This window comes from Homo sapiens, chromosome 12 (genome assembly GCF_000001405.40).
Source record: "Homo sapiens chromosome 12, GRCh38.p14 Primary Assembly".
Taxonomy (NCBI): Eukaryota; Metazoa; Chordata; class Mammalia; order Primates; family Hominidae; genus Homo; species Homo sapiens.
This window is the reverse complement of record NC_000012.12, coordinates 9,530,778-9,554,434: the sequence shown is the minus strand read 5'-3', so window position 1 is coordinate 9,554,434 and position 23,657 is coordinate 9,530,778. Positions and strand designations below refer to the sequence as shown.

The window sequence follows — 23,657 nt, the reverse complement described above, 5'->3', positions numbered from 1 at the left end:
CTGAAGCTCAAAAGTGAGTTATATTGTTTGGATGGGGCGTTAGATAAAAATAGTGAGAGCTGGATTTTTATAAAATTTGAGTATGGAAAGGTCATTTTTCTTTAAACGCCACATTTTTTTTTAATTGGGGCAGGTTAAATCTGTCTGCATAAAATGAATAGAAGAGAAACTCTTGGTGAAGGGAAAACAATGCTAGAGAAAAAAATAAAATAAAATGTATGATAAGTACATGCAAATCAATGATACATATTTTACAAATATGGTACTGTTTTATATACCCAGGAATAAACATGAAGAAAGAAAAAGAAAATAGAAATAAAGACACACAGGAGAGAAAATGGTTAAAACTCACTCGACACTGACGAGGTCCCACATCCATGTCTCTGGGAAGTTTGTTCTTACTGTTTGAATTATAGCCTGTTCTACATAGTCAGCATTCTCCCCTCTGATTCCACTAGCTAAAAAAAAAAAAGGAAGAAGTACCTTATTTAGCCTTTGGACTCTGCAAATTATGGTCTATATATTATCAGGGTGTAAGGTCTCCATAAAACACCTCACTTTCCTGTATCACAGTCACTTACTATGACTGTTTTCCTGTATCACCATACATTGCCTGTTCCTCTACACAGTCAGGTACCACATAATGACATTGTGATCAATGACAGACCACTTAGACTACAGTGGTCCCATAAAGTTATAATGGAGCTGAAAAATTCCTACCACCTATTGACATCAAAGCCATCATAACGTTGTACTGCAATGCATTGGTCATGGGTTTGTGGTGATGCTGCTGTAAACAAACCTACTGCACTGCCAGTCCTATAAAAATATAGCAGACACAATTCTGTACAGTACACAATACTTGATAATGATGACTATGTTACCGGTTTTTGTGCTTACTATACTATACTGTTTACTGTTTAGAGTGTACTGTTCTTACTTATCAAAAAAATTAACTGCAAAACAGCTTCAGGCAGGTCCTTCAGGAGATGTTCCAGAAGAAGGTATTGCTGTCATAGATGATGACAGCTCCATGCGTGCTACTGCCCCTGAAGAACTTTCAGTGGTACAAGATGTGGAGGTAGAAGACAGTGATATTGATGATCCTGACCTTGTATAGGCCTAGACTAATGTGTGTGTTTGCATCTTCATTTTAAACAAAAAAGTATAAAAGTTAAAGAAAATTAAAAAATAGGAAAAAGCTTATAGAATAAGAATGTAAAGAAAGAAAATATATTTGTACCCTGACTCACTCAGAGTAACTTTTAACCTTGCAAGCTCCATTCAGGGAAGTGCCCTATTTAAAAGTATAACTTTTTTTATCTTGTATACCACATTTTCACTGTGCCTTTTCCATGTTTAGCAATGATTAGATACACAAATAGTTACCATTGTGGTACAACTGCCTACAGTATTCAGTATAGTCACATGCTGCGGAGGTTTGTAGCCTAGGAAAAATAGGCTGTACCACATAGCCTAGGTGTGTTGCAGGCTACAGCATCTAGGTTTGCGTAAGTACACTCTATGACGTTCGCACAACAATATCACCTAACAATGCATTTTTCAGAACAAATTCTCCATCACTAAGTGAAGCATGATTGTATTTCTGACATTGTATTTTATCAATAAAAATAAACTACATCTCACATCTGAAGCTAATTTCTTGTTATAGCCAAAAGCACGTCTAGTCTGTCTTATTCTGCTTTATCCAACTATAGGATGTCTAATTGTAGCCAAAAACATGGCATAATTCACACATAAAATTCCAAAATTGTATAGTTTATCCCAAATACACTAAATTCCACAAAGCGGTTTGGTCATCCCCCAACAAAAAAATGTAAGATTACCTACATGCAATTCTAGACGGAACACTACGCATTGGACCATAATTTTCTGTTTCCAGATAAAGCGGCTTAGGGAGTGGCAGCCTTCTCTCCATCACACATACTTCTGGTTTTCGGTAATGGAGATTGGTAAAGACTTTTAGACCCATGTTCTTTAAAGAAACAAACAACAAAAATATTGTTCATTCTTTTCATGCAAGAACTATAAAAGGCCTATTATTTATATTGCAAAGATAAATGGATCATAAGTATCCATATTTTCTGTGTTAACAAAGGTCTGAGAAGTTACAAGTCAACTTACCTCTATTTGACTTATGGAAAATCCCTAATTTAGAGAAAAAATTATAATCACTATGATTTATCTAGCACTTATTATGTGCTAGCATTTTTCTAAGTATTTTCCATTATTCTCCATTTCATCCTAAGTGGAAAATACTTATGAGATCAGCACTATCATTACCCTAATTAACATCAAACACACACACACACACACACACACACACACACACCCGGCACACTCAGTAAATTAAAGAACTGGAACCTGATAAAGTTTGTCTGATTCAATACCCCTTTTCTTACACACTTGTGATGTTAATTATAAAGATTATTTCATGGAAGGCTCAGCATGTCTCATTAATGGCCTAGGGATATCTGGAGTCCACACTCTCTTAGCCTCTTGATTTGACAATCTTTGCATAAGATTTATTGTATTAATTGGAGACTGTCTTATTTTTTTAAGTGAGGTTTTGTAATTATAGCTACATGATTTATTTTCAGCAGAAAATTTTAAAATCAACAAAATTAATATCTCCTTTTTATAAGACAATTTCTATGTACTCTATTGGCAGATTACAGACACGAATCTCAAAGTATAGGAAGAAAACTACATAATTAAGAAAACATTAATATGCATTATGAATACTAAAAATTGCGATGAAATATTTTCCAAAATCCTTAGTGATCTTACCCTGACAATATTATAGATATCTCCATCCCCATAGTTGCTTACAGGTGTGTAATATAAACCATTGTAGAACATATCCCTCTGAGGAATGCAAGGGTCTTCCTTGCCATCATCAAGATTGAGGCCATGGTAGAAATAACCATACGGCTCTATACTTGGAACCATGTTATACACCTATGAGAAAAAACATTTCCCAATAATTTTAAGCACTTCTTTTAAAATTACAAAATTGGCAAATTGTCTACTGTACCATTTATTTTTGTTCTTTTCTTTAAGAGGACGGCCATCATATTTAATCCAGTATTTTCACATAAGCTCTTCCTTTCGAAAGAGCAAACCAGTTTTGTTTTAGGCAACTGATGTCATGTTCACAGAATTTCTCAGCTTGGGCGCAGGATTTAAGAGAGAATGTAAGAAAGCAATGCCTGACTATTGATTAATCCAAGGCCCATTGTACAGACAATCAATTATAATGCTAGAATTTCTAAGTCTGGAGAATAATCTTAGCTGCCTGATTTTAAATCTTCTTACATAATCTTCTGAAGAAAACATAAAATCAACAAAGAGAACAAGTAAGGATACTCATGACTAATATCTCTAACATTACTACAATTCAGAGAATACCATGATCTTCAAATTATTTCTTAGTAGAGAAACAAACACCAAATGCCAAGAGAGCTTCTACTGCTATTGCAGAGGGAAGGCTTAAGAGACTGCAGAGAAAAACAGAGCAGAATGGCATGGAGAAATGAGAAGAAACACACACCAAGTCAACTCCAGGTAAGAGAAAGTCTAGCATTGTTAAAAATACAAATTATAGTTTTCGGACTCAACAGTTCCCAGTACAGCACACAGGGAAAGGGCTTGGAGTGAATGGGCCTGGAAGTGGAAGCTTCCAAAAAACATGGCTAAGGGGAAATAATCAGATCACAAGAAGAGGTATGCAGATCCTTGGATACAGGGAATTTAAAAAAGGAAAGGATGTCATAGGATAAAATAACTCCCTCCACCCTCATTTCCATCACCAACATTTTAAAAATAATGCATTTTACTAAAAAAAAAAAATAGAAAGGGCGCTCTTCACCTATGAACACCCTGCACAAAATATCAAGAACTAGAAAAAATCAACTCCATACAAAGCTGCTGTAAGAGAAAATAGGAAATGCAAGTCAAAACACTTCAGCTAATGAAACCTCTCCACTAAAGTCACTAAGTAAATAAATAAGTAAACAAAGAAAAGCCATGCCAAAATAATTTAACATGAGTGAAATATTCTCAAGCATGTATTTGAGGTATTTAAAAGGCACCATGAGTCAGAAATTCAATTAAGAAAATACAGAAATGGACAAAACCCAAGAAGAAATAAAATGAGGCTTTATTGAACTCAGGAAAACTAGACAAAATTATATCATAAATAAACTCTAAAGTACAAGGACATCAAGAGAAAATTGTTCAGAGAAAACTTTAAAAGCAGCATAGAGGAAAAACAAAAGAACAAAACTGAAAAAGAATGAATTAAAACAGGTCACAAAGTGATTGAATTGGAAAGCAGGCAAGGAAGATCCAACAAATGTACAGAGATTTTTTTAGAACAAAAAAAATGGAAAGACCAATATTTACAATTATAATTCAGGGGAACTATCTGAAAATAAAAGAAGATTTGAGTTTACATATTGCATGACTCCACTGTGTACCTGGCAAAACTTCTACAGAATAACACATTCTTACTGAAACTAAGTATAAAGGGGAAAAAACATTCAAGGCCTTCAGACATAGAGATAAAGTAGCCCATAATGGAAAATGAATTAAACTAATGTCAGCACTATTAAAAGGCATATTCAAAGCAAGTCAATAGTAAGGTAGCATTTCAAAAAATTTTAAAATGTATAAACCAAAGATTTAATATACAAATACCTGTCTTTCATTTATTAAGGCTTTAGAAAAAATAATTCTGAATATGAAAATGTCAGAGAATTCTATACTTATGTGATATCCTGAGGACTCTAGCAGAGAATGCACTTTTTAAAAATTTTTATTTATTTATTCCTGAGACAGGTTCTCATTCTCTTGCCCAGGCTGAAGCTCAGTGGTATGATAATGGCTCACAGCAGCCTCGATCTCCCAGGCTCAAGCAATCTTCCCGTCCCAGCCTCCTGGAGAATGAGCTTTATGTAACCAAAAGATGACTCAGGAAATTAGTAAGACTTGATGAATAGGAGAAACAATACAGAATGTAAACATTATATATTCTGACAAAAAAGGAAAAATGCAACAATAAAATGAGAGAAGAGGGAGAGAAAAGTGGAAACTAGAGATTACTGACTGTTGTGCAGGTAGCAGTTAAGACTCAAAGATTAAAAATAACTGACTAGATTTTTTTTTTTTTTTTTAAATGGAGTCTCGCTCTGTCGCCCAGGCTGGAGTGCAGTGGCGCGATCTCGGCTCACTGCAAGCTCTGCCTCCCAGGTTCACGCCATTCTCCTGCCTCAGTCTCCTGAGTAGCTGGGACTACAAGCACCTACCACCACGCCCGGCTAATTTTTTAATATTTTTAGTAGAGACGCGGTTTCACCGTGTTAGCGAGGATGGTCTCGATCTCCTGACCTCATGATCCACCCGCCTTGGCCTCCCAAAGTCCTGGGATTACAGGCGTGAGCCACCGCGCCCGGCCATAACTGACTAGATATTAAGGTTAAGCAAGAAAAAATGAGATTAGGATATTAGGATATTATAAAATATGTAAATATAAAAATAACCACTAAAATAAAAATTCAAGCTAGCCTGAATACTCAAAGAAGCTTTAAGCAAGATAGCAAAAAACAAACATAAAAGCTAAAGAAATAAAGTAGCTTTAAATACAATACAGAATCATAAGAAAAATAGTATGATAGAGCTGAGGCCTAACACATACATCATATCAATAGAGTGAATAGACTTTATTCTCCTTTAGAAGACAAAGATATGCATAGTTAAAACAAAACACAATGCTGTACTTCATACAAAAAACAAGTGAAGTGCATACTTCAAAAGGTGAAATCCAAAGGAAAAGTAAAGGAAAATAATAAGAATGCAAAGGCTGCAATCCTCCTGTTATCGGAAATCGTAGAAGTAAGGCCAAAAGACATCAAACAAGATAGAGAAGAATACTTACTGCTAAAAGCTGCAATTCATAATAAAGGCACAACAGTTATGATTATCTATGCAGAAACTACAGAAGATGCAAGAAGAAACAGAGCACTATTTGTAGGGTATTTTAACACATCACTCAGCAGAAGAAGGTTAAATAAATTTTACAAAATAAGTAAGAATACAAAGGATCAAAATAATCCAACCTCGTGGATAGAAAACAAACTGATAATAGAGACTATATCTTCTCAACACATGAGATATATTCGCAAAAACTCATTATATATTTGGGCACAAAAATATACTGGTGGAAATATTGCTGACCATGAAGATATAGAACTTGAAATTTAAAAGAAAACTCTAAAATAAATTCCTTTTTATATGAAAATTATAAAGTACTCCAGTAAGTAAATTTTCAGTGAAAGGGTTAATACAAACAGAAATTACAGAATTTCTGAAAAATAAAAATGGTGCAATTGCTATGTATCAGGATCTATGAGATACTTCAAAAGTACAAATCATGGAAAAACTTATAGGCTTAAAAACACCTAGCCCAATAAAATAAATTAATGAAAATGAAGTAAATTTCTAAGTGAAAAAGCTAAAAATAACAACAAAATACAGCACCAGTAAGGAAATAATGAAGATAGAAATAGAAATTAATGTGATGGAGTAGCAAAAAACCTCACATCATATTACATCACATTAATAAATTAAAATTATATGTTTTTGGAAAACTCGGCAAAATAGGTAAACCACTAACTAATCTAACAAGGAAGAAAAAGTAGCTATCTGCTTAGGAACAAAAGAAAAACAACTTCTTCCATGACTCAGTTTTCAGCCTCATTTTTTGTCCTTTTAGCATCGTGAATTGGGGTCCGGAGTTGTTTGTATTTTTCTTTCACAATAGACTGATGTATGTAACCTAGTCTCAAATGATTCAGAAAAAACTGAAATGCCATAAACTCTCTCTCTCTGTGTGTGTGTGTGTGTGTGTGTGTGTATGTATGTGTGTGTGTGTGTAGGGGTGGAGAGAGTGAGAAAGAGAAAACAAGTATGGCGAAATGTTCACAAACTGGTGAATCAGGCCAAGGGTACATGGGAGTTCTCTGTGTAATTCTTGCACTTTTAAAAATTATTTAAAACTAAAAACTAAGCTTACATAAGATAATACAAAAAATAACACAAACTTATAGAATATAAATTGGAATTCACTCATTTATAGAACTTCACTTGATTTATACTATTAATATAGCTATCAATAATAAACAAGGGCAATCTCTTTTGGCTCTGATATATTCTGAGACCCCTGAAAAATGCCTCTAGAATTTTTTTTTTGAGGTCCCTTGATGGTCTTTTCTTGAGGCAGTTTTCCTAAGATATTGCCACCTCCAACTGTAGAAAGAATGAGCAGAAGCTATTTACTCTGAATCCATGAAACTCTCAAGGGAAAAAAAAGGTGTGTGTGTGTGTGTGTGTGTGTATGTATATAAACATATATATGTACACACACACACACACATATATATACATATTCCTTTTTTTTCTTTGAGACAGGGTCTCGCTTTGTCACCCAGGATGGAGTGTAGTGGCACGATCTTGGTTCACTGCAACCTCTGCCCCAGCCAGGGCTCAAGTGATCCTCCCACGTCAATCTCCCAAGTTTCTGAGATCACAGGTGCACATCACTGTGCCCTGCTCATTTTTTATATTTTTGGGAGAGACAGAGTCTCATCATGTTGTGCAGGCTGGTCTCGACCTCGTGAGCACAAACGATCTGCCCGCCTTGGCCTCCCAAAGTGCTGGGATTACAGGCGTGAGCACAGCACATGGCCATATTCCATATTTATAGATAAATTTATCCTTTATTTGTTGATGCCCCCTCAGATTCTGAAAGCTTCTAACTAAAAGTATTTTTGCTCCCTGTAATAGAAAACTTAAATGTATTTATGTTTTGCATTGAGAAAAATATGTTTTATATAATGATCCATAGTTATTCAATATTATTACTGAATTCTATAATTTTATACTTAAAACTGGACTTACTATAGAATGTTGAAAGCAAAATACAAAACTATTTTTTGGTGAGATCTCAAGTTTGTAAAATATATATGCCTTCAGAAAAGAGACTTGAAAAATTACAGCAAAACTATAAAGATGCCTAAGTGTTAGGACTATAAATGACTTTAAAGATTTCCTTCTTTATGTCTTTGTATACTTCGCACATTTTCCAAATTATACAGGTATAATATTAATCAGAAAAAATTAAATTATTAAATTAGATTTAAATATGATCATAAATTTCAATAGTTATTTATATGTAATTGTGTTAGAAATAAACGGAAAATATCCAACAATTGTTAACCGAAATAAATTGGATGTGAACTTCTGGAATTCCAGGTCTGGAAATGTTTAAGAAAATACAATATCCATTTATAGATAACTTTACACTGAATCCAAGCATATCCTTGAACATAGAGATTTCATTTTATTCCAAGTTTCCACATCTGTGATTACACCTATGATTTTTAAAAATCACAGTTGTAAAATTCCTAAACTGTTATAATTATCTATCAAATTCTGTATTGTTATAAGCATGTTCTTAGGATAGCCAAGAAAAATAAGTATATAATCCATGAAGGAACAAAGGAAGAAAACATTCAATATTTTCAACATGTTCAAGACATCATCTGAAGGATAAGACTTCTGGTAGTCCAGAGAAACATGAAAAACGAGGAAGTCAGAGAGCTTACACTTTCAGCTGACAGCTGTTGTTCAGATTTCAGTAGAAGGACATTCCTATCCACAGCCCTGAGGGCACAGAATAAGACAGGCGCCGCTTGAAGACAGAGACTAGCATTGGAACCAGGTAAGCCCTGCTCGTTAGAGAACTTTATGTTAACCTAAAGTAGAGAAAAAAAAGAGATGAGAGTAGAGACCATTTTATGTAAAGATGATCTGAATACATTTAATCTCTCCTGAATAAATCCTTATAGATTTCTATACTGTATTTCCCTTGCCCACTCTCACCCTCAGCTTTCTTTGCAGGAGACCCCCTTCACCACCCTGCTGCCGTCTCAGGATTGGCACTGCTGCCAAGGATCATGCATTGTGTTTGGTGATTCTCACATCCCCTAATAATTCAATTATGCCAGCACTGAGTGTGAGTTTCCCACGTGAAGGTGATAGCAGTCAGGCGAGAAGACAGCAGGGAGCAAACTGTTCCCACTTCTCAGGCCAGAAATAGGAGAAACATCACCTTGTGTTTAAAGCACTTGTCAACCTGGAATCTGACACTGTCAGCCACAATTTCCCCACTGGGGTGAAGGGTATAGACAAACAGGACGGCTGCAGGAGCCAGATCAGCACTGATGCTGATTGGGAACGAGAAGTTTCCATTCCAGGCTGTGTAAATAGGAGACGAAGAGATACGATGCTGAAAGTTTCCTGAATCACTGGTACACTTAGATAAAAGAGAATAGCTCATGGACAGAAAGAGTAAATTGGGCCCTGTTTTCAAGACAAATAAATCAAATAATAGGAAGTACATATACAAATAAAGAAGACTGCATAATTTAGATAATAACAATACTGGGATTTTGTACACCACTTTTCTTTTTTTAATTTATTATTTATTATTATTCTTCTTCTTTAAGTTTTAGGGTACATGTGCACAATGTGCAGGTTAGTTACATATGTATACATGTGCCATGCTGGTACGCTGCACCCACTAACTCATCATCGAGCATTAGGTATATCTCCCAATGCTATCCCTCCCCCATCCCCCCACCCCACAACAGTCCCCAGAGTGTGATGTTCCCCTTCCTGTGTCCATGTGTTCTCACCATTCAATTCCCACCTATGAGTGAGAATATGCGGTTGTACACCTCTTTTCTAATGTACTCAATGATCTGACAATAAAAGAAACAGGTAGAACTCTCCTTCGTCAAGACATTTAGTAGCTTCCCTCAGGCTGTGCTAACTATTACCTTCATCCACAAATTGAAATAAGTGCTCGTTCTAACTTCTTTTCACTATATATATATATACACATACATATATACACACATATATATACACACACATATATGTTTGACTAAATATATTTTCTTAATATATATAATTCCCATATATATAATGTCTATATATCCTTAACAAGAAAAAATGAAGTTAGAGCACATATTTTAAAAAGAATACATTATGTATACCTTTGTTTCTGATTTCCTTTTGTCCACTGAGTAAGATAGCTCCTTTTACCATCATCTGTGTGGAACAAAGAAAACATAACATGCAATATATTATCTGATGTCATCATATTCTCATATTGCGATTAGGTAATTCATTACTTAATGGTAATTCTGTTCCATAAGATAGGGTAGCTTCCACAAGCAAATATTAATAGACTTTGCATAAGTTGGAAAAGAGCAGAGAAAGTGACTAAAACTGATTGAGATTCTATCATGTACTGGAAACTTTGTGAACTATGTGCAATGCACTGTGCAAAGTGGCACATAAAGCTCTGAAATTGTCAAGGCTGTCTGGTTTCAAATACGCCTTCATCTGCTCATTAACTTTGTGACTTAAAACATGATGTTTTACCTGTTTGCCTCTGTTCCATTATCTGTAAAACGGAGATATCTATAAGGCTAATTAAATGAGTTAACACATATACAATCCTTATAACAGTGCCTGACACAGAACACTTACCCTAAGAGGTAAGTCTTATAATCTCCAATTACACTGTACACCTGAGGAAGCCAAGGGTTAAAGAGTTCAAACAATCCGTCCAAGATGCACTAACTTGCATGCTAACTAGGAGAGGGTGGGGGATTCAAGTTAATGTCTTAATTTCCAGGTCTGTGTCTTATCACTCTTCAATAGCCCTTAGAGCAGAAGGCCCCAGTCCCCAGGCTGTGTACCGGCAGGTACCTGTCCATGGCCTGTCAGGTACTAGGCCACACAGCAGGAGGTGAGCAGTGCGGCGAGCAAGCATTACCACCTGAGCTCCTGTCAGATCAGCAGTGGTATTAGATTCTCATAGGAGCACAAGCCCTGCTGTGAACTGCACATGTGAGGGATCTAGGTTGTGCGCTCCTTATGAGAATCTAATGCCTAAAAATCTGTCACTGTCTCCCATCACCACCAGATAGGACCATCTAGCTGCAGGAAAACAAGCACAGGGTTCTTACTGATTCCACATTATGGTGAGTATGTAATAATAATAGAAATAAAGTGAACAATAAATGTAATATGCTTGAATCATCCTGAAGCCATCCCACCATCCCCACCCCATCTGTGGAAAAATTGTCTTCCATGAAGAAAGTCCCTGGTGCCACAAAGGTTGGGGGCTCCTCCTTAGAAAGACAAAATGGACAGAACCAAGAGAATAAAGTCCTTTTACTGCTTATCAAAATAAGCTTTCCACCTTACTTTCTGGCATCTGCCCAATATTTTACTATTACAGAGTGTCATAAATACTTGATATGAGTTACATTTGAATGCTTAAACAAGTGGACTCTGAACAGCAAGTTCTTCAACCTTAGGGAAACTTTAATTGCCTTAGATCGTTCTATGTGTTTGTTTGTTGTTAATGGATCGAACAGTATTCACCAGCAAAGTGAGAAGGCTGCCCTTACTCTGGTCACCGTGGCATGACTGATGCATGCTTTCTAAGCTGTGCTGGGCTAAGCAGACGTGCAATTGAACAGGATTCCAGGAACCCACTGACTGAGACTTACCAAATAGAAGAACTTTACATTGGAATCATCCTCATATGCTTCACTGTTTAGGGAGTAATGCACAGTAACAACCTTCTGTTGATTACATTCAAGCTGCTTTGGTTCTGGAACAATCTTCAGGAAGCTGTTGGTTCGGGAGTAAAAGCGTGAGACTAAGAAGTGAGCATCCAAGTACTGAGGCGTCAACCAGCTGGGAAGATAGCAGCTCTCAGGTCGAACATATGTGGCCTGAGATGACAAAAGAAAGTGAAGGGTCTTAGTATCATGACATCCGAAGACAGTTGTTACTGAGAATGGAGGCTTCTCAACTCTCCAGAGTAGGGAGGAATCTCAGCTTGTGGCTGACGTTTTAATGTTAAGTTATTGGAATCAAAATAATAATAGCACCTGCTCTTTGTATACAAAACGTGACCATGAAAGACTGTGTAAATATTTCATTAGACTGATGGTGAATTGTTATGTTTTTTACACTTTAATTGAAGCCACAGAATTGGGTTTCAGTTCTGTTTCTTTCAGCTACATGTGAACACTGACAAATTATTTAACTGCAAAATTCTGTTTAAGCAGCAGAAAATAAACAGAAAGTATAGGATCTCCCCTATCTATGCATGAAATGATCTGAGGAAGAAAGTCAAATCATCCTCATGAGCTACTTCTTGTTTCCTAAAGGAAAATATTAGTTGTTAGCAAATTTATAACAATCGTGATAGACTTTTAGCTTCCCATCCTCTTGAACAAGTATTCTCATGTATTATTTAGTGAACAAGCAAATTTATAAAATAAGTTACATTTTAAATTTTCTTTAAAATATATTCTGTATACAAGCTATCTTTTGAGATATTCCTAATGTTTAACATTTCTGATATCCAAATCCTCTGTGGGATGTCTAATGGTCTTCTTCTGTTCTTTGATGTCTTACTTTTAGGTTGAACTCTGGATCAAATATGTCTGAAGTGTCAATGGAAAATTGAGCTTCGCCATTCTCATCCGTAGTGTAATTTCCTATAAATTCATCATTGAGCTCCAGTTGCAACAACTTGTTCACCATAGGTACATTATTGGGATCCGAAAATTTAAGCTGTACGAGAAAAGAATAATTAACATGACTTAAAACACAAAATGTTTACATTTTTACAGAGAAATAGTTTTCTACTCATAAATGTGATCCCTAGTCATTTTCCTAAATTCCAACAGACAGAAAGATGCTCTATTAAATACATAGATATATAATATAAAGTATGGAAAAAACAATACTGTTATCTATTGCTTCTTTCAATCTAGGACACTTTCTAGCACCTCAGACATAGTAGTGCTTAAAATGTATTATAAAAGTAGGAAAAAAGTGACCAGAAATTTTCAAAGGGCAATCTATGATCCAAGAAAATGAAATGGAAGCATGTATTCTTTAGTCACACCCACAGTTCCAAAATAAGAAATCCCTCTTCTATAGAATGTATCCATGTTCTCAAAGTTTACAGTTCCAAGCAATTGAGTGATAAAAACTGAGGTCTTCTCGCTGATCTGCATAACTGTAAGGAATGATGAACACAGCAGAGTGAAAATGTCTAAGTTACCATCCACAGCAATATAAATGTGACCAGCTTGCCCAGAGTGAATAGCATCATGATATTGATCAAGTATGCTTATATAGAGCACTTTACAATGGCATCATCACAAACTCCTTTATAAATAACAAGAAATAATTAGTAGTTAAATCTGATTTTCCCACTCCAAATTAAATAATTAATCTCTTTCTCCCTTCTTTCTGGTTTTTTTTTTTTTTTTTTTTTTTGAGACTGAGTCTTGGTGTGTCACCCAGGCTGGAGGCTGGAGTGCAATAGTGCGATCTCAGCTCACTGCAACCTCCGCCTCCTGGGTTCAAGCGATTCTCCTGCCTCAGCCTCCCGAGTAGCTGGGATTACAGGCATTCACCATCATGCCCGGCTAATTTTTTGTATTTTTGTAGAGACAGGGTTTCACCATGCTGGCCAGGCTGATTTTGAACTCCTGACCTCAGGTGATCCACCTGCCTTGGCCTCCCAAAGTGCTGGGATTACAGGCGTGAGCCACCGTGCCCGGCCTCTTCTTTCATTCTTTTAACAAATACTTATTGAACACTCACTTTGTGCAATCTTGTAAATTTTTCAGTAATAATTTTTGCACTTGCAACTATTCCCAGTTGTATTAAATTAGAAATAATCTGAATTTTGTACTTAGTGCTAACTCAACAAGCTTCTCCCAGTAAGTTGCCATACATATATCCCCAGGTCGTCCAAAAAATACAGTAATTACCTGTCCCAGATTCTGTAACAATTACAGCGACATGAAATGTCATGAACAATCCCGAACGGTAGAGTTGGAAGACTTTTGTATTTACAATTTGAGAAACACAACCATTTTCCAACTGAAAAATAAAGAGAAGGTATAATTAAAATGTTAGCGATCCAAGAGGTTTTTTTAAGTGTCTTTTAAAATATGGTTTTTGCACAAATATATTAACATCCCCACCCCGTGCCACGGCTCTACCTCATAAACTTGTTGAAATGGCCAAAGAATTAAAGGAGGAGTAGGAGGAGGCGAATATTTACATCAGCATTTTAAATAAGGGAAGGAGGTAATCTGTATTTTACAGATTTCAAGGAAATTCTCCTGGAAACATTGTAGATGAGAAAAGATTAAAGGATGGAAATGAAGCTGAATGGTATTGTGAAAGGAAAGTAAATCTCAGGAGCCCAACATCCCTAAGCTAAAGGGAAAGGGCAAGCTGGGAACAGCTGGGCAAATCTGTCTCCCATTTTATTCCCAAATAAGGTAGCTACAAAGATAAAAACTACATACCTCCCTCACAATTTGCCCACAAGGAAATTCTTTGTGGGCCTGAAGAACTTTTCCTTAAAACAGTTCTTTGGAAATTCACCCTGGCAATATAAATTCATAGCTTATCTTTACAGGCGTGGGACAAAAGACAGACTCAGTCATCCCTCTGCTTACCTGAGACAAATATGTATCTGATTTATCTGATTGCTTCCTCTGCCTAATAGTTTATGTAAAAATGCAGATTTACTGAGCCACACTAAGGCATAAGTGACTATTCCTCTATCCTCCTCTCACATGTAATTTGTGTATTCAGTGAAAGGCTGATCAAAGACAAAGACTTATTCTTTTTTTTTTTTTTTGAGATAGAGTCTTGCTCTGTCACTCGGGCTGGGGTGAAATAGCCCAATCTTGACTCACTGCAACCTCCGCCTCCCAGGTTCAAGCGATTCTCCTGCAACAGTCTCTCGAGTAGCTGGGATTACAGACACCTGCCACCACGCCCGGCTAATTTTTGTATTTTTAGTAGAGATGGGGTTTCTCCATGTTGGTCAGGCTGGTCTCAATCTCCTGACCTCACGTGATCTGCCCACCTCGGCCTCCCAAAGTGCTGGGATTACAGCTGTGAATCACTGCACCCGGCCTCAAAGACTTCTTCTTTATGCAACTGTTTGTCTCTTATCTACCTATGACCTGGAAACCCCCTTAGTTTGGATTGTCCTGCCTTTCTGGACCGAACCAATGTACATCTTACACATATTTGTTGATGTCTCACATCTCCCTGAAATGTATAAAAGCAAGCTGTACCCCAACCACCTTGGGCACATGTTGGTAGGACCTCTGGAGGCTGTCATAGGTACATCCTTCACCTTGGCAACATAAGCTTTGCAAATTGATTGACATCTGTCTCAGATACTTTTGGTTCACAGTGTTTTAAGAGGAAGAAATTCTAATCATCTAGAAAGGCACTAAAACAGATGGAACAGAAGCGCTCAGCACATGTGTAACAACAAAACAAACACTTTTTAAGGTATATTGCTTATTTAAAATAACAAAAAAAATCTATAGTTAATCTATCATCAGTAATGTCAATAATCAGAGAAATATAAATTTAGTTATATTTTACAACACAGTGTTTATTCCAGATTTAAAATGTTATAAGGATATATCAGTTTATTTGATACTCAAAACTATTACATGAGCTAGGTACTGTTATTATCTTACTATATAGATGAAGAAACTAAAATAGGTCCATCATGTAGCCTGTCCAAGATCTCACAGCTAAGAGACGGTGGTGCTGAGGAGCTGCTCTGGCTGCAGAGTATGTGCTTCTCAATCTTAAATTAACAGCTATTACATCAACAACAAAAGCAATTTTACTTTGTCTAATGATAATATAGTCAAATTAAAATGAAATCATAGAAAGTGATCAGAAGAACCTTAATTATTTCGAAAATAAGAGAAAAGCCTTTTTTCAGGAATCCTTGAAACAAAGAGAATACATAAAGTAAACCAATAAGAATCCAGATATTAGAGTAATGAAAAAATGCTTTGCATCAAAGTCAACGGTTTTCAGCTGTAGTTAAGAAGAAATGTAAAACACTGAATGTGCTTATTACTAAAAGAAACAGCTAATATATTTTTTAAACCCCAACAAAATCAACTACAAATATTAGAAAAAAGAATTAATAAGATGAAAGAGAAAATAAATTATTTAGGAACACAAAATAATATAAGAAAGAAAATAGTAAAAATAAGAACCAATAACATAGACGAAACTTTCGTGGGCATGATTTAGGACAAAGAGTGAGAGAGAACAAAATTGTGAGATAGGTGCTAACACAACACAGCCCACATCTGGAAGAAAAATTCCCATTTTAGAACATCATTGGAAGTGAACTTTTTGTCTATTAGAAAATTGTAAACGATCTTAAGAGCATACTTAGATAGCCACATGTACAACACAGGGGCCAGTGAGATTTTTTTTCTAAGGCTGGAAACCCAGGAACATAAGGAAGGTGGGTATGTCAAAAATATGACAAAGTAAATGAGTTGCCTATTTAAATAATGGGCTTAAAAAAAAAATGCTTGGAGGATGGAAGGCAGTACTTACAATGAAAGTTTCCATTTCACATGAACAGAAAAACATGGGTAATTAAGAGTTCTCAAATCCAAATTGATAACAAAAATATGAAAAGTTGCTCAAACTAAATAGAAATTAGATAGCACAAGTTAAAACAAGCTAAATTTGTGTCTATCAAAATGACAAAAACTTTTAAAACTTCTAAATATATTGCTGAAAGTAATTTGGAAAATATAGTATTCTCATGTACTTCTGACAGGAATTTGAATGCCTAAAAACTTTTAGGAGAGCAATATGCTAATATTTATTAAAATTAAAATTATCTGTCTATGAACATTATCTATATTTCCTTTGACTCAGGAAACTCACTCTAAGAAATTTATTTCAAGTAAATAAAGCCTCTCATATATAAAGATAGTTCCACCGGACAGATTTTTTTTTTTTTTCTTTTTCTGAGGCAGGTCTTGCTCTGTTGCCCAGCCTTGAGTACAGTGGTGCGAACACAATTCACTGCAGCCTTGACCTCCTGGGCTCCAGTGATTCTCTTGCCTCAGCCTCCCTGTAGCTGGAACCACAGATGTGCACCACTGTGCCTGGCTAATTTTTGTAGAGAAGGGGCTCACTATGTTGCCCAGGCTGGTTTCGATCTCCTGGAGTCAAATGATCCTCCCGCCTCGGCCTTCCAACATGCTCAGATTAGAGGTGTGAGCCACTGCTCCTAGCCTCTACCAGATTGTTTATGGGTATTTTTTTCACATGGGGGAAAAAAATAAACCATTTGCTGAGGGAACACCCATCATTGTGTAAAACAGTTGACTGAACTCTATCAGAATGTACTGCTGACATGGAGAAATTCCACCCTAGTTTTCTTTGCCTGCATTTCCTATGTAAAGGTAGGATTCTGCTTGTCTTTGTCAATTATTGATATTTACCTAGAGGATGTTCACTAAATTTGATGAGTAACTTTAGGACAATTGGACTTAAAATATGAACTATGTGGCGTACACAAGCTTCACTTTGGGGAGTCAAAAGACAATTTCAAAGAGATAGGAAGAGTTGTTCACTTAAGGTTAGGATGCTGCAGATAGAGCAAATGATGACTTCACATATGAACTGCAAGTCTAAAGTAATATAGTGGGGGTACTCTGAATTGCAGTTGATTGCAAGTAAGCTGTTTCCACTAAAAAAAAATCCAGGTGGCATGGAGAGTAATATCACAGACTCATTTAAAGGATGATTAACGATTCTCCAAAGAAAAATCAGGAAGGCCACCTAGGCGATATACAAAACAACAAAGCCCACGATACCTTTCATATTCTAAAAATCCCATGAATCTATAGGTGGAGAACAATTTACATGGTCTATGGAATAAAAAACTGCTTTAAGCACTGTATTTTCTTCTCTTTCTTCACTTTATTTAGCTGCAAACTCCATTATCAATAAAATGAAAATAGTATTGTTAAGTTCCCCTTATAAATGAAATCAAAGAAAGAATAAGAATGAAAAATGAGTGAGAACTTTTTTTGGAGTAAAGATCATGGTCTGTACCTGTGCAATAAATTGCTCACATATTTCATTTTCATTTTTCTCACAATTGCTTGAAGAAAAATACTCTCTGCACACCCGGATTTGGGTTTCCCCTTGCACAGGTTGGCCAAAGTTGTACCTAATGGGGGAAGGTGTAGTTATAATTACAGATAAGCAATATCATAGCAATATTTTATGATCTTCTTCAGAAATTATATAGGAAGTCTCTAAACTGTGAGTAACCCAGTCTAAACAAATTGAATTAGGAATTCTCCCTATTGGTGAGGGTTTAGGTTCCCCACAGAATTCAGGTTAAACTGGGCATTTGATGTCAGGAGGATTTGGCTGCCTTTAAAAAATCGAATTCAGGGTAAGGCAGAATCTAAAATAATCTAAAATCTCATTGAATATGATTTAATGCTTAAATTGAGTTTTTTTAAATATATTTTAATCTGATAGAAACATCATAACATCGTAGCACTTTCCCTTTTATCAGAAAAATATATATGTATATAAAACTTGGATGATTCAGGATCTTGAAACATTTCCAGATCAACATTTTAAACACAAGTTTTTATTTACCACTCAATAAATATAAAGGCTATGGGGCTGGCATGAACTGGTTCTGCTTTGACCAAAAATATAATACCTTACAGGGTGGGTTTGAGTATCTCATTTTCTCCTAAAACACAAAACTACAACACAAGATTTGTAAAGGTTCAACCAAAGGCAAATCCAGTCAATTGGAGTTTTTTGTTTTGTTAATAGACAACAAATGTAAAACTAGCATATAATAAAAGTGAATATTATTTTCACAGATTATAATACTTTTTTCTAACTGTTGGACACTGATATATATCATTTATTTTTCCCAGTGACCCTGATTTGTAAAATGAGGTCAAGTAACTTCTCCACATTGTAATTGATGAAACTAAAATTCGAACTCAGATCTGCCTCACTCCATAGCCTGTGCCCTTTTCTTTCCACTCACCTTTTTCTCTTTCTATTTAAAAATTCCTAACACTTTTGAGATTCTGAGTCAATTCATACCAATAAAATCATGTGTCAGGTTTCATGATTATATAAAGGCCAGACTTAGATCTGGCCACACATATTATACCTGAACATTTCTTCTTATTTCTACTTAATGTTTTTTATTTATAAAATAAAAGTCTTATTGTATTATCTGTAAGCTAACATATGCCTATAAGACATGTAGCTTAAATTTTAAAAACAGGACAGAATAATCCCTTCGTGATTTGAAAAGCTTTCAGTGAATGCTAATGCAGTGTATTAAAATCTCTTCGTCTGTAGGTAAATTTTCTTCCCTCTTAAAAGCCTAAGTCATCTCTGACTTTGTTTGCTAAAATAATCCAATTTTTTTCTTGTTTTCTCTAGCCATTCCAAGCTAAATCCCAGAAAAGGCTAAAGAAACACAGACACAGTATCATACAATTTGAGACACAGTATACAACTGACGTGAACCTTCTAGAAACAGTGCTCTCACAATCTGCCCAGAAATAACTTTGTAGCAAGCACAGCTCCAGTCTAGCTGCCTGGCCTCCTGGCAGGATATTATTATTGCTGATACTGATTTACTCCTTAATATAACTCTATCCAAAATACAACATCAAAGAAATTTCAAGAAATCAGGATCATGGATTGTAACCTGACATACTGCTAAGGAACTACCAGTTCCATGTTAGCATGAGGTTTGCAAGTATTTTCCAAAGGCCATGTTTGAGAAACATTTTTGCTCTTCCAATGTGTTGTGGGTTTTTTTTTAGCACACTATTGTGCAGATAAATAAATGAGATGTTAATGCCACTGAAAGCTCTGGCTTTGCGTTTGGCTTTTCTAGTGAAACCTGTTTAGGATTCTGGATTTCTTCCAGCTTAAATTTATCACCTCATCATTTTTAACATCAGTGATCTACAGTCTCTCATCTATTACGTATATTAAATTCTGGTATTTTCAACTACTCTTCATTAAAACTTAGAAAAAAATTTATAATCATTTCCTAAAGTCAAAAGAAGATTTGAAATGCTACTGAAAAAAAAAAAAAAGAAGGCTGAAAACTGGTTTGCAAGATTCTCTGGGGCATCAAAGGCATCTTAAGAACCACCCTTGCACGTTCATTAGACAGCCCTTTAATCAATGTATCTTTAATAGACTGCTGGAAATACTCAAAGGCAAGTAATTTTCATGTCATAAATTAAACAAAGTGCTTAACAAATATGGCAAATATTAATATTGTTAACTGTTTTTATAAAGTATATGACAGTTATTGATTAGGAGAGTAGCTTTGAAGCTGAAAAACCTAGGTCTAAATCCTAGTTCTGCCATCAACAAGCTCCATTACTGTTGATAAGTTATTTTAATTCTCTGTGTCTTATTATCTTTCTTTATAAAATAGAGATGACAATAGCTCCTATCTCATAGCACTGTGGTAATGATATATGCAGAGCTTAACAAACTAGTTGACATTCAAAAAACATTTATTTTATTTTTTATTTTATTATTTTTTTTCTGAGACAGAGTTTCACTCAGTCGCCCAGGCTGGAGTGAGGTGGCATGATCTTGGCTCACTGCAACCTCCACTTCCTGGGTGCAAGCAGTTCTCCTGCCTCAGCCTCCCGAGTAGCTGAGATTACAGCTGCCTGCCACCATGCCCGTCTAATTTTTTGTATTTTTAGTAGAGACGGGGTTTCACTATGTTGGCCAGGCTGGTCTCGATCTCCTGACCTCGGATGATCCCCCCCACCTTGGCCTCCCAAAATGCTGGCATTACAGGTGTGAGCCACCGTGCCTGGCCAATTGTTTATAAATTATTATTAGAAATTTGAGAAAAGGCAGTAAAAAAGAAAAAAAAATTAAAAATAATTTTCCAAAAACAAAATACAAATTCTGAAATCGTGTAGATTTTTTTACATTAAGAGAATTCAAATAATTCAGATTAACTTGATAAGATGCTTTATCTTCACTTTGCCATTTCAATAGCTCATATTCTAATTTTAATGAAAATATGCCATGATAGTAAAGATTCAATGAGAATTTCACACCAGCTGCTAGAATTCTACACTGGCACAACATGTGTAGTGAGGAGTATGGCAATCAGAAGACTAAAAGAATGTTACATATTTTGTCTTGGTAATTCCTTGTCTGGAAATCTTTCTTAAGTAAATAATTTTTCATTCAAAAGCTACCTATTATATGTTATACACAAAGACATATACTGCAAAATTATTAATTACCAGGAAAACAAAATGAAACAGCCGACATATTATATAATAAAATAATTAAATTTGGTATAGTCACATAAAAATATGTGCAGCAGAAAATTGGAATTCATGAAAAGATTGGCATAATATGAAGGCATGTTTTCTTAATTATTATAAATAGAAAAGTATGATTGCAGTCATGGAAAATATTCATTAAAATTAGAGGAAACTTACAATGTTAGTGACATTACAATGTTAATGGCAGTTGGTCAAATTAATAATAGGTAATGTCTTGTGTTTTTCTCTATATTTTTCAAATTTTCTACAATGAGGATTCATTGCTTCTCTAATAACACTAATGTAAGCATATAAATAATTAAAGTTTTATGGTTAATCTCACTTCTCATTCTCTCTGAGCTTTGTGTTTTCTTGTGAAGGTAAATCTGAATAAATACTCACTTAGCACATACATCCACTTGGAATTCATCATCTGAAATAGTTACTGTTTGTGGTGCATTGACTGTAACTTCAAACTTGGGCAGCACTGGAAACGAAGAGAAATATATGTTAGCCTGCACAATCACAGGCAAGCAAACCTTATTGCAGTCGTATAGCTTACTATGATTCCTTGTACCCTCCATCTGTATTAGCTATGTATCATTTGCCCCAAATTGTGTGGCACCATTCTACATGGTGGTGTCTCACTAATGATTAATTCTTCCTCTTTCTTTTCTTTTCCCTATCTTCAGAATTTCACATTTTGTTTCTTTTTGTTTGTTTGTTTGAGACGGAGTTTCACTCTGTTGCCCAGGCTGGAGTGCAGTGGTGCAATCTTGGCTCACTGCAACCTCTGCCTACGGGGTTCAAGCCATTCTCCTGCCTCAGCCTCCCGAGTAGCTGGGATTACAGGCATGCACGACCACGCTGGGCTAATTTTTGTATTTTTAGTAGAGACTGGGTTTCACCATGTTGGTGAGGCTGGTCTCGAACTCCTGACCTCATGATCCACTCGCCTCAGTCTCTCAAAGTGCTGGGATTACAGGCGTGAGCCACCACACCTGGCCTCACATTTTCTTTCTATTGCAATCTCTTAGATCTCTCCTAGAAGACTGTGGGGATTCTAGAAAAAATGTATATTTTCTAGGGGAAAAAGAAGGCAGGAATCAGAATAAGGATACTGGGGAAGGAGAGAGGAGCAGCAAAGTGCTGATGACGAAGCCAACCAGGTCAAGGAAGGGAGACAAAGAAAACCAGTTCTAGCTTCACCTACTCCTGCCTAAGTCTAACATAAATGTTGTGTTGGTCCATCCTTTAAACTCTTCATCTACACAGGACAGCTACAAATAGCAACTGGTTACCATATCTTTTAACAGCAAATTGGTGTGTCACTGTCTCCCTTGAGTTTCTTTTCACAACAATCCAGTAATCTCCAAACATTGGTTCTGAAATCAGTTGGAACGAGAGTTGGGTAATATTTCGGAAAGAAGTCACATTTTGCCTTTGAAAAATCCGATTGTTTTGAGGATCCTAGAAAATAATGAAAAAAATATAAACAATCAGAATTTGTATGAGAGTATTACCCTTTGCTGCCATATTTCGGATAGTTTCGGATAGTTTCACAAGGGTTATTTTAGGCCAATATTTTCTCTTATGAAACAAACAAGTAGCTTTTGGTAGAGCCTGTGAGGGCTTAAGAACCCTAATGTCTATAAATCTTAGAGGATTATACACTATGCTTTGGTCATAAAAACTTGTACTGCCTTTATTCTTTTTTCTTTTTTTAAAGTATTGTAATTGTACATACTTAAAGGATACAATTGGCGGGGCACAGTGGCTCACACCTGTAATCCTAGCACTTTGGGATGCCAAGGTGGGCAGATCACTAGAGCCCAGGAGTTCAAGATCAGCTTGGGTAATATTGTGAAACCCCATCTCTACTAAAAATACAAAAATTAGTTGGGTATGGTGGCGTGTGCCTCTGTAATCCCAGCTACTTGGGAGGCTGAGGCAGGAGAATCGCTTCAACGTGGGAGGTGAAGGTTGCAGTGAACCGAGATCATACCACTGCACTCCAGCCTGGGTGACAGAGTGAGACTTTGTCTCAAAAATAAAAAAAAAAGTGGGGGGGTACAATTTGATGTTTCAATACACACACACACACACACACACACATAATCTATATATGTAGTATAATGATCATATTGGGGCAGTGTTACCAGTACTTCATCCATTTATCTTTTTTTTTTATGGTGAAGACATTCAAAAACCTCTCATCTAGCTATTTTGTAATTTGCTAAATCTTACTGTAAACTATTGTCAGCCTACTGTGCAATAGAACAC

The 23,657-nt window shown here is 35.8% G+C and overlaps 1 pseudogene across 1 annotated transcript in view; it reads right to left on the bottom strand.

The window, feature by feature from the left end:
• Positions 1-23,657, bottom strand: part of OVOS1P (ovostatin 1, pseudogene) — a 127,984-nt pseudogene that overhangs the window by 21,836 nt on the left and 82,491 nt on the right. The window contains exons 19-28 of the transcript NR_153413.2: positions 22,676-22,844; positions 21,777-21,861; positions 18,118-18,235; positions 13,965-14,076; positions 12,592-12,750; positions 11,673-11,900; positions 10,143-10,197; positions 2,812-2,982; positions 1,852-1,996; positions 353-458 (exon numbers count right to left, since the gene is read on the bottom strand). The product of NR_153413.2 is annotated as an ovostatin 1, pseudogene (transcript). The remainder of the gene's footprint in view (positions 1-352; positions 459-1,851; positions 1,997-2,811; positions 2,983-10,142; positions 10,198-11,672; positions 11,901-12,591; positions 12,751-13,964; positions 14,077-18,117; positions 18,236-21,776; positions 21,862-22,675; positions 22,845-23,657) is intronic.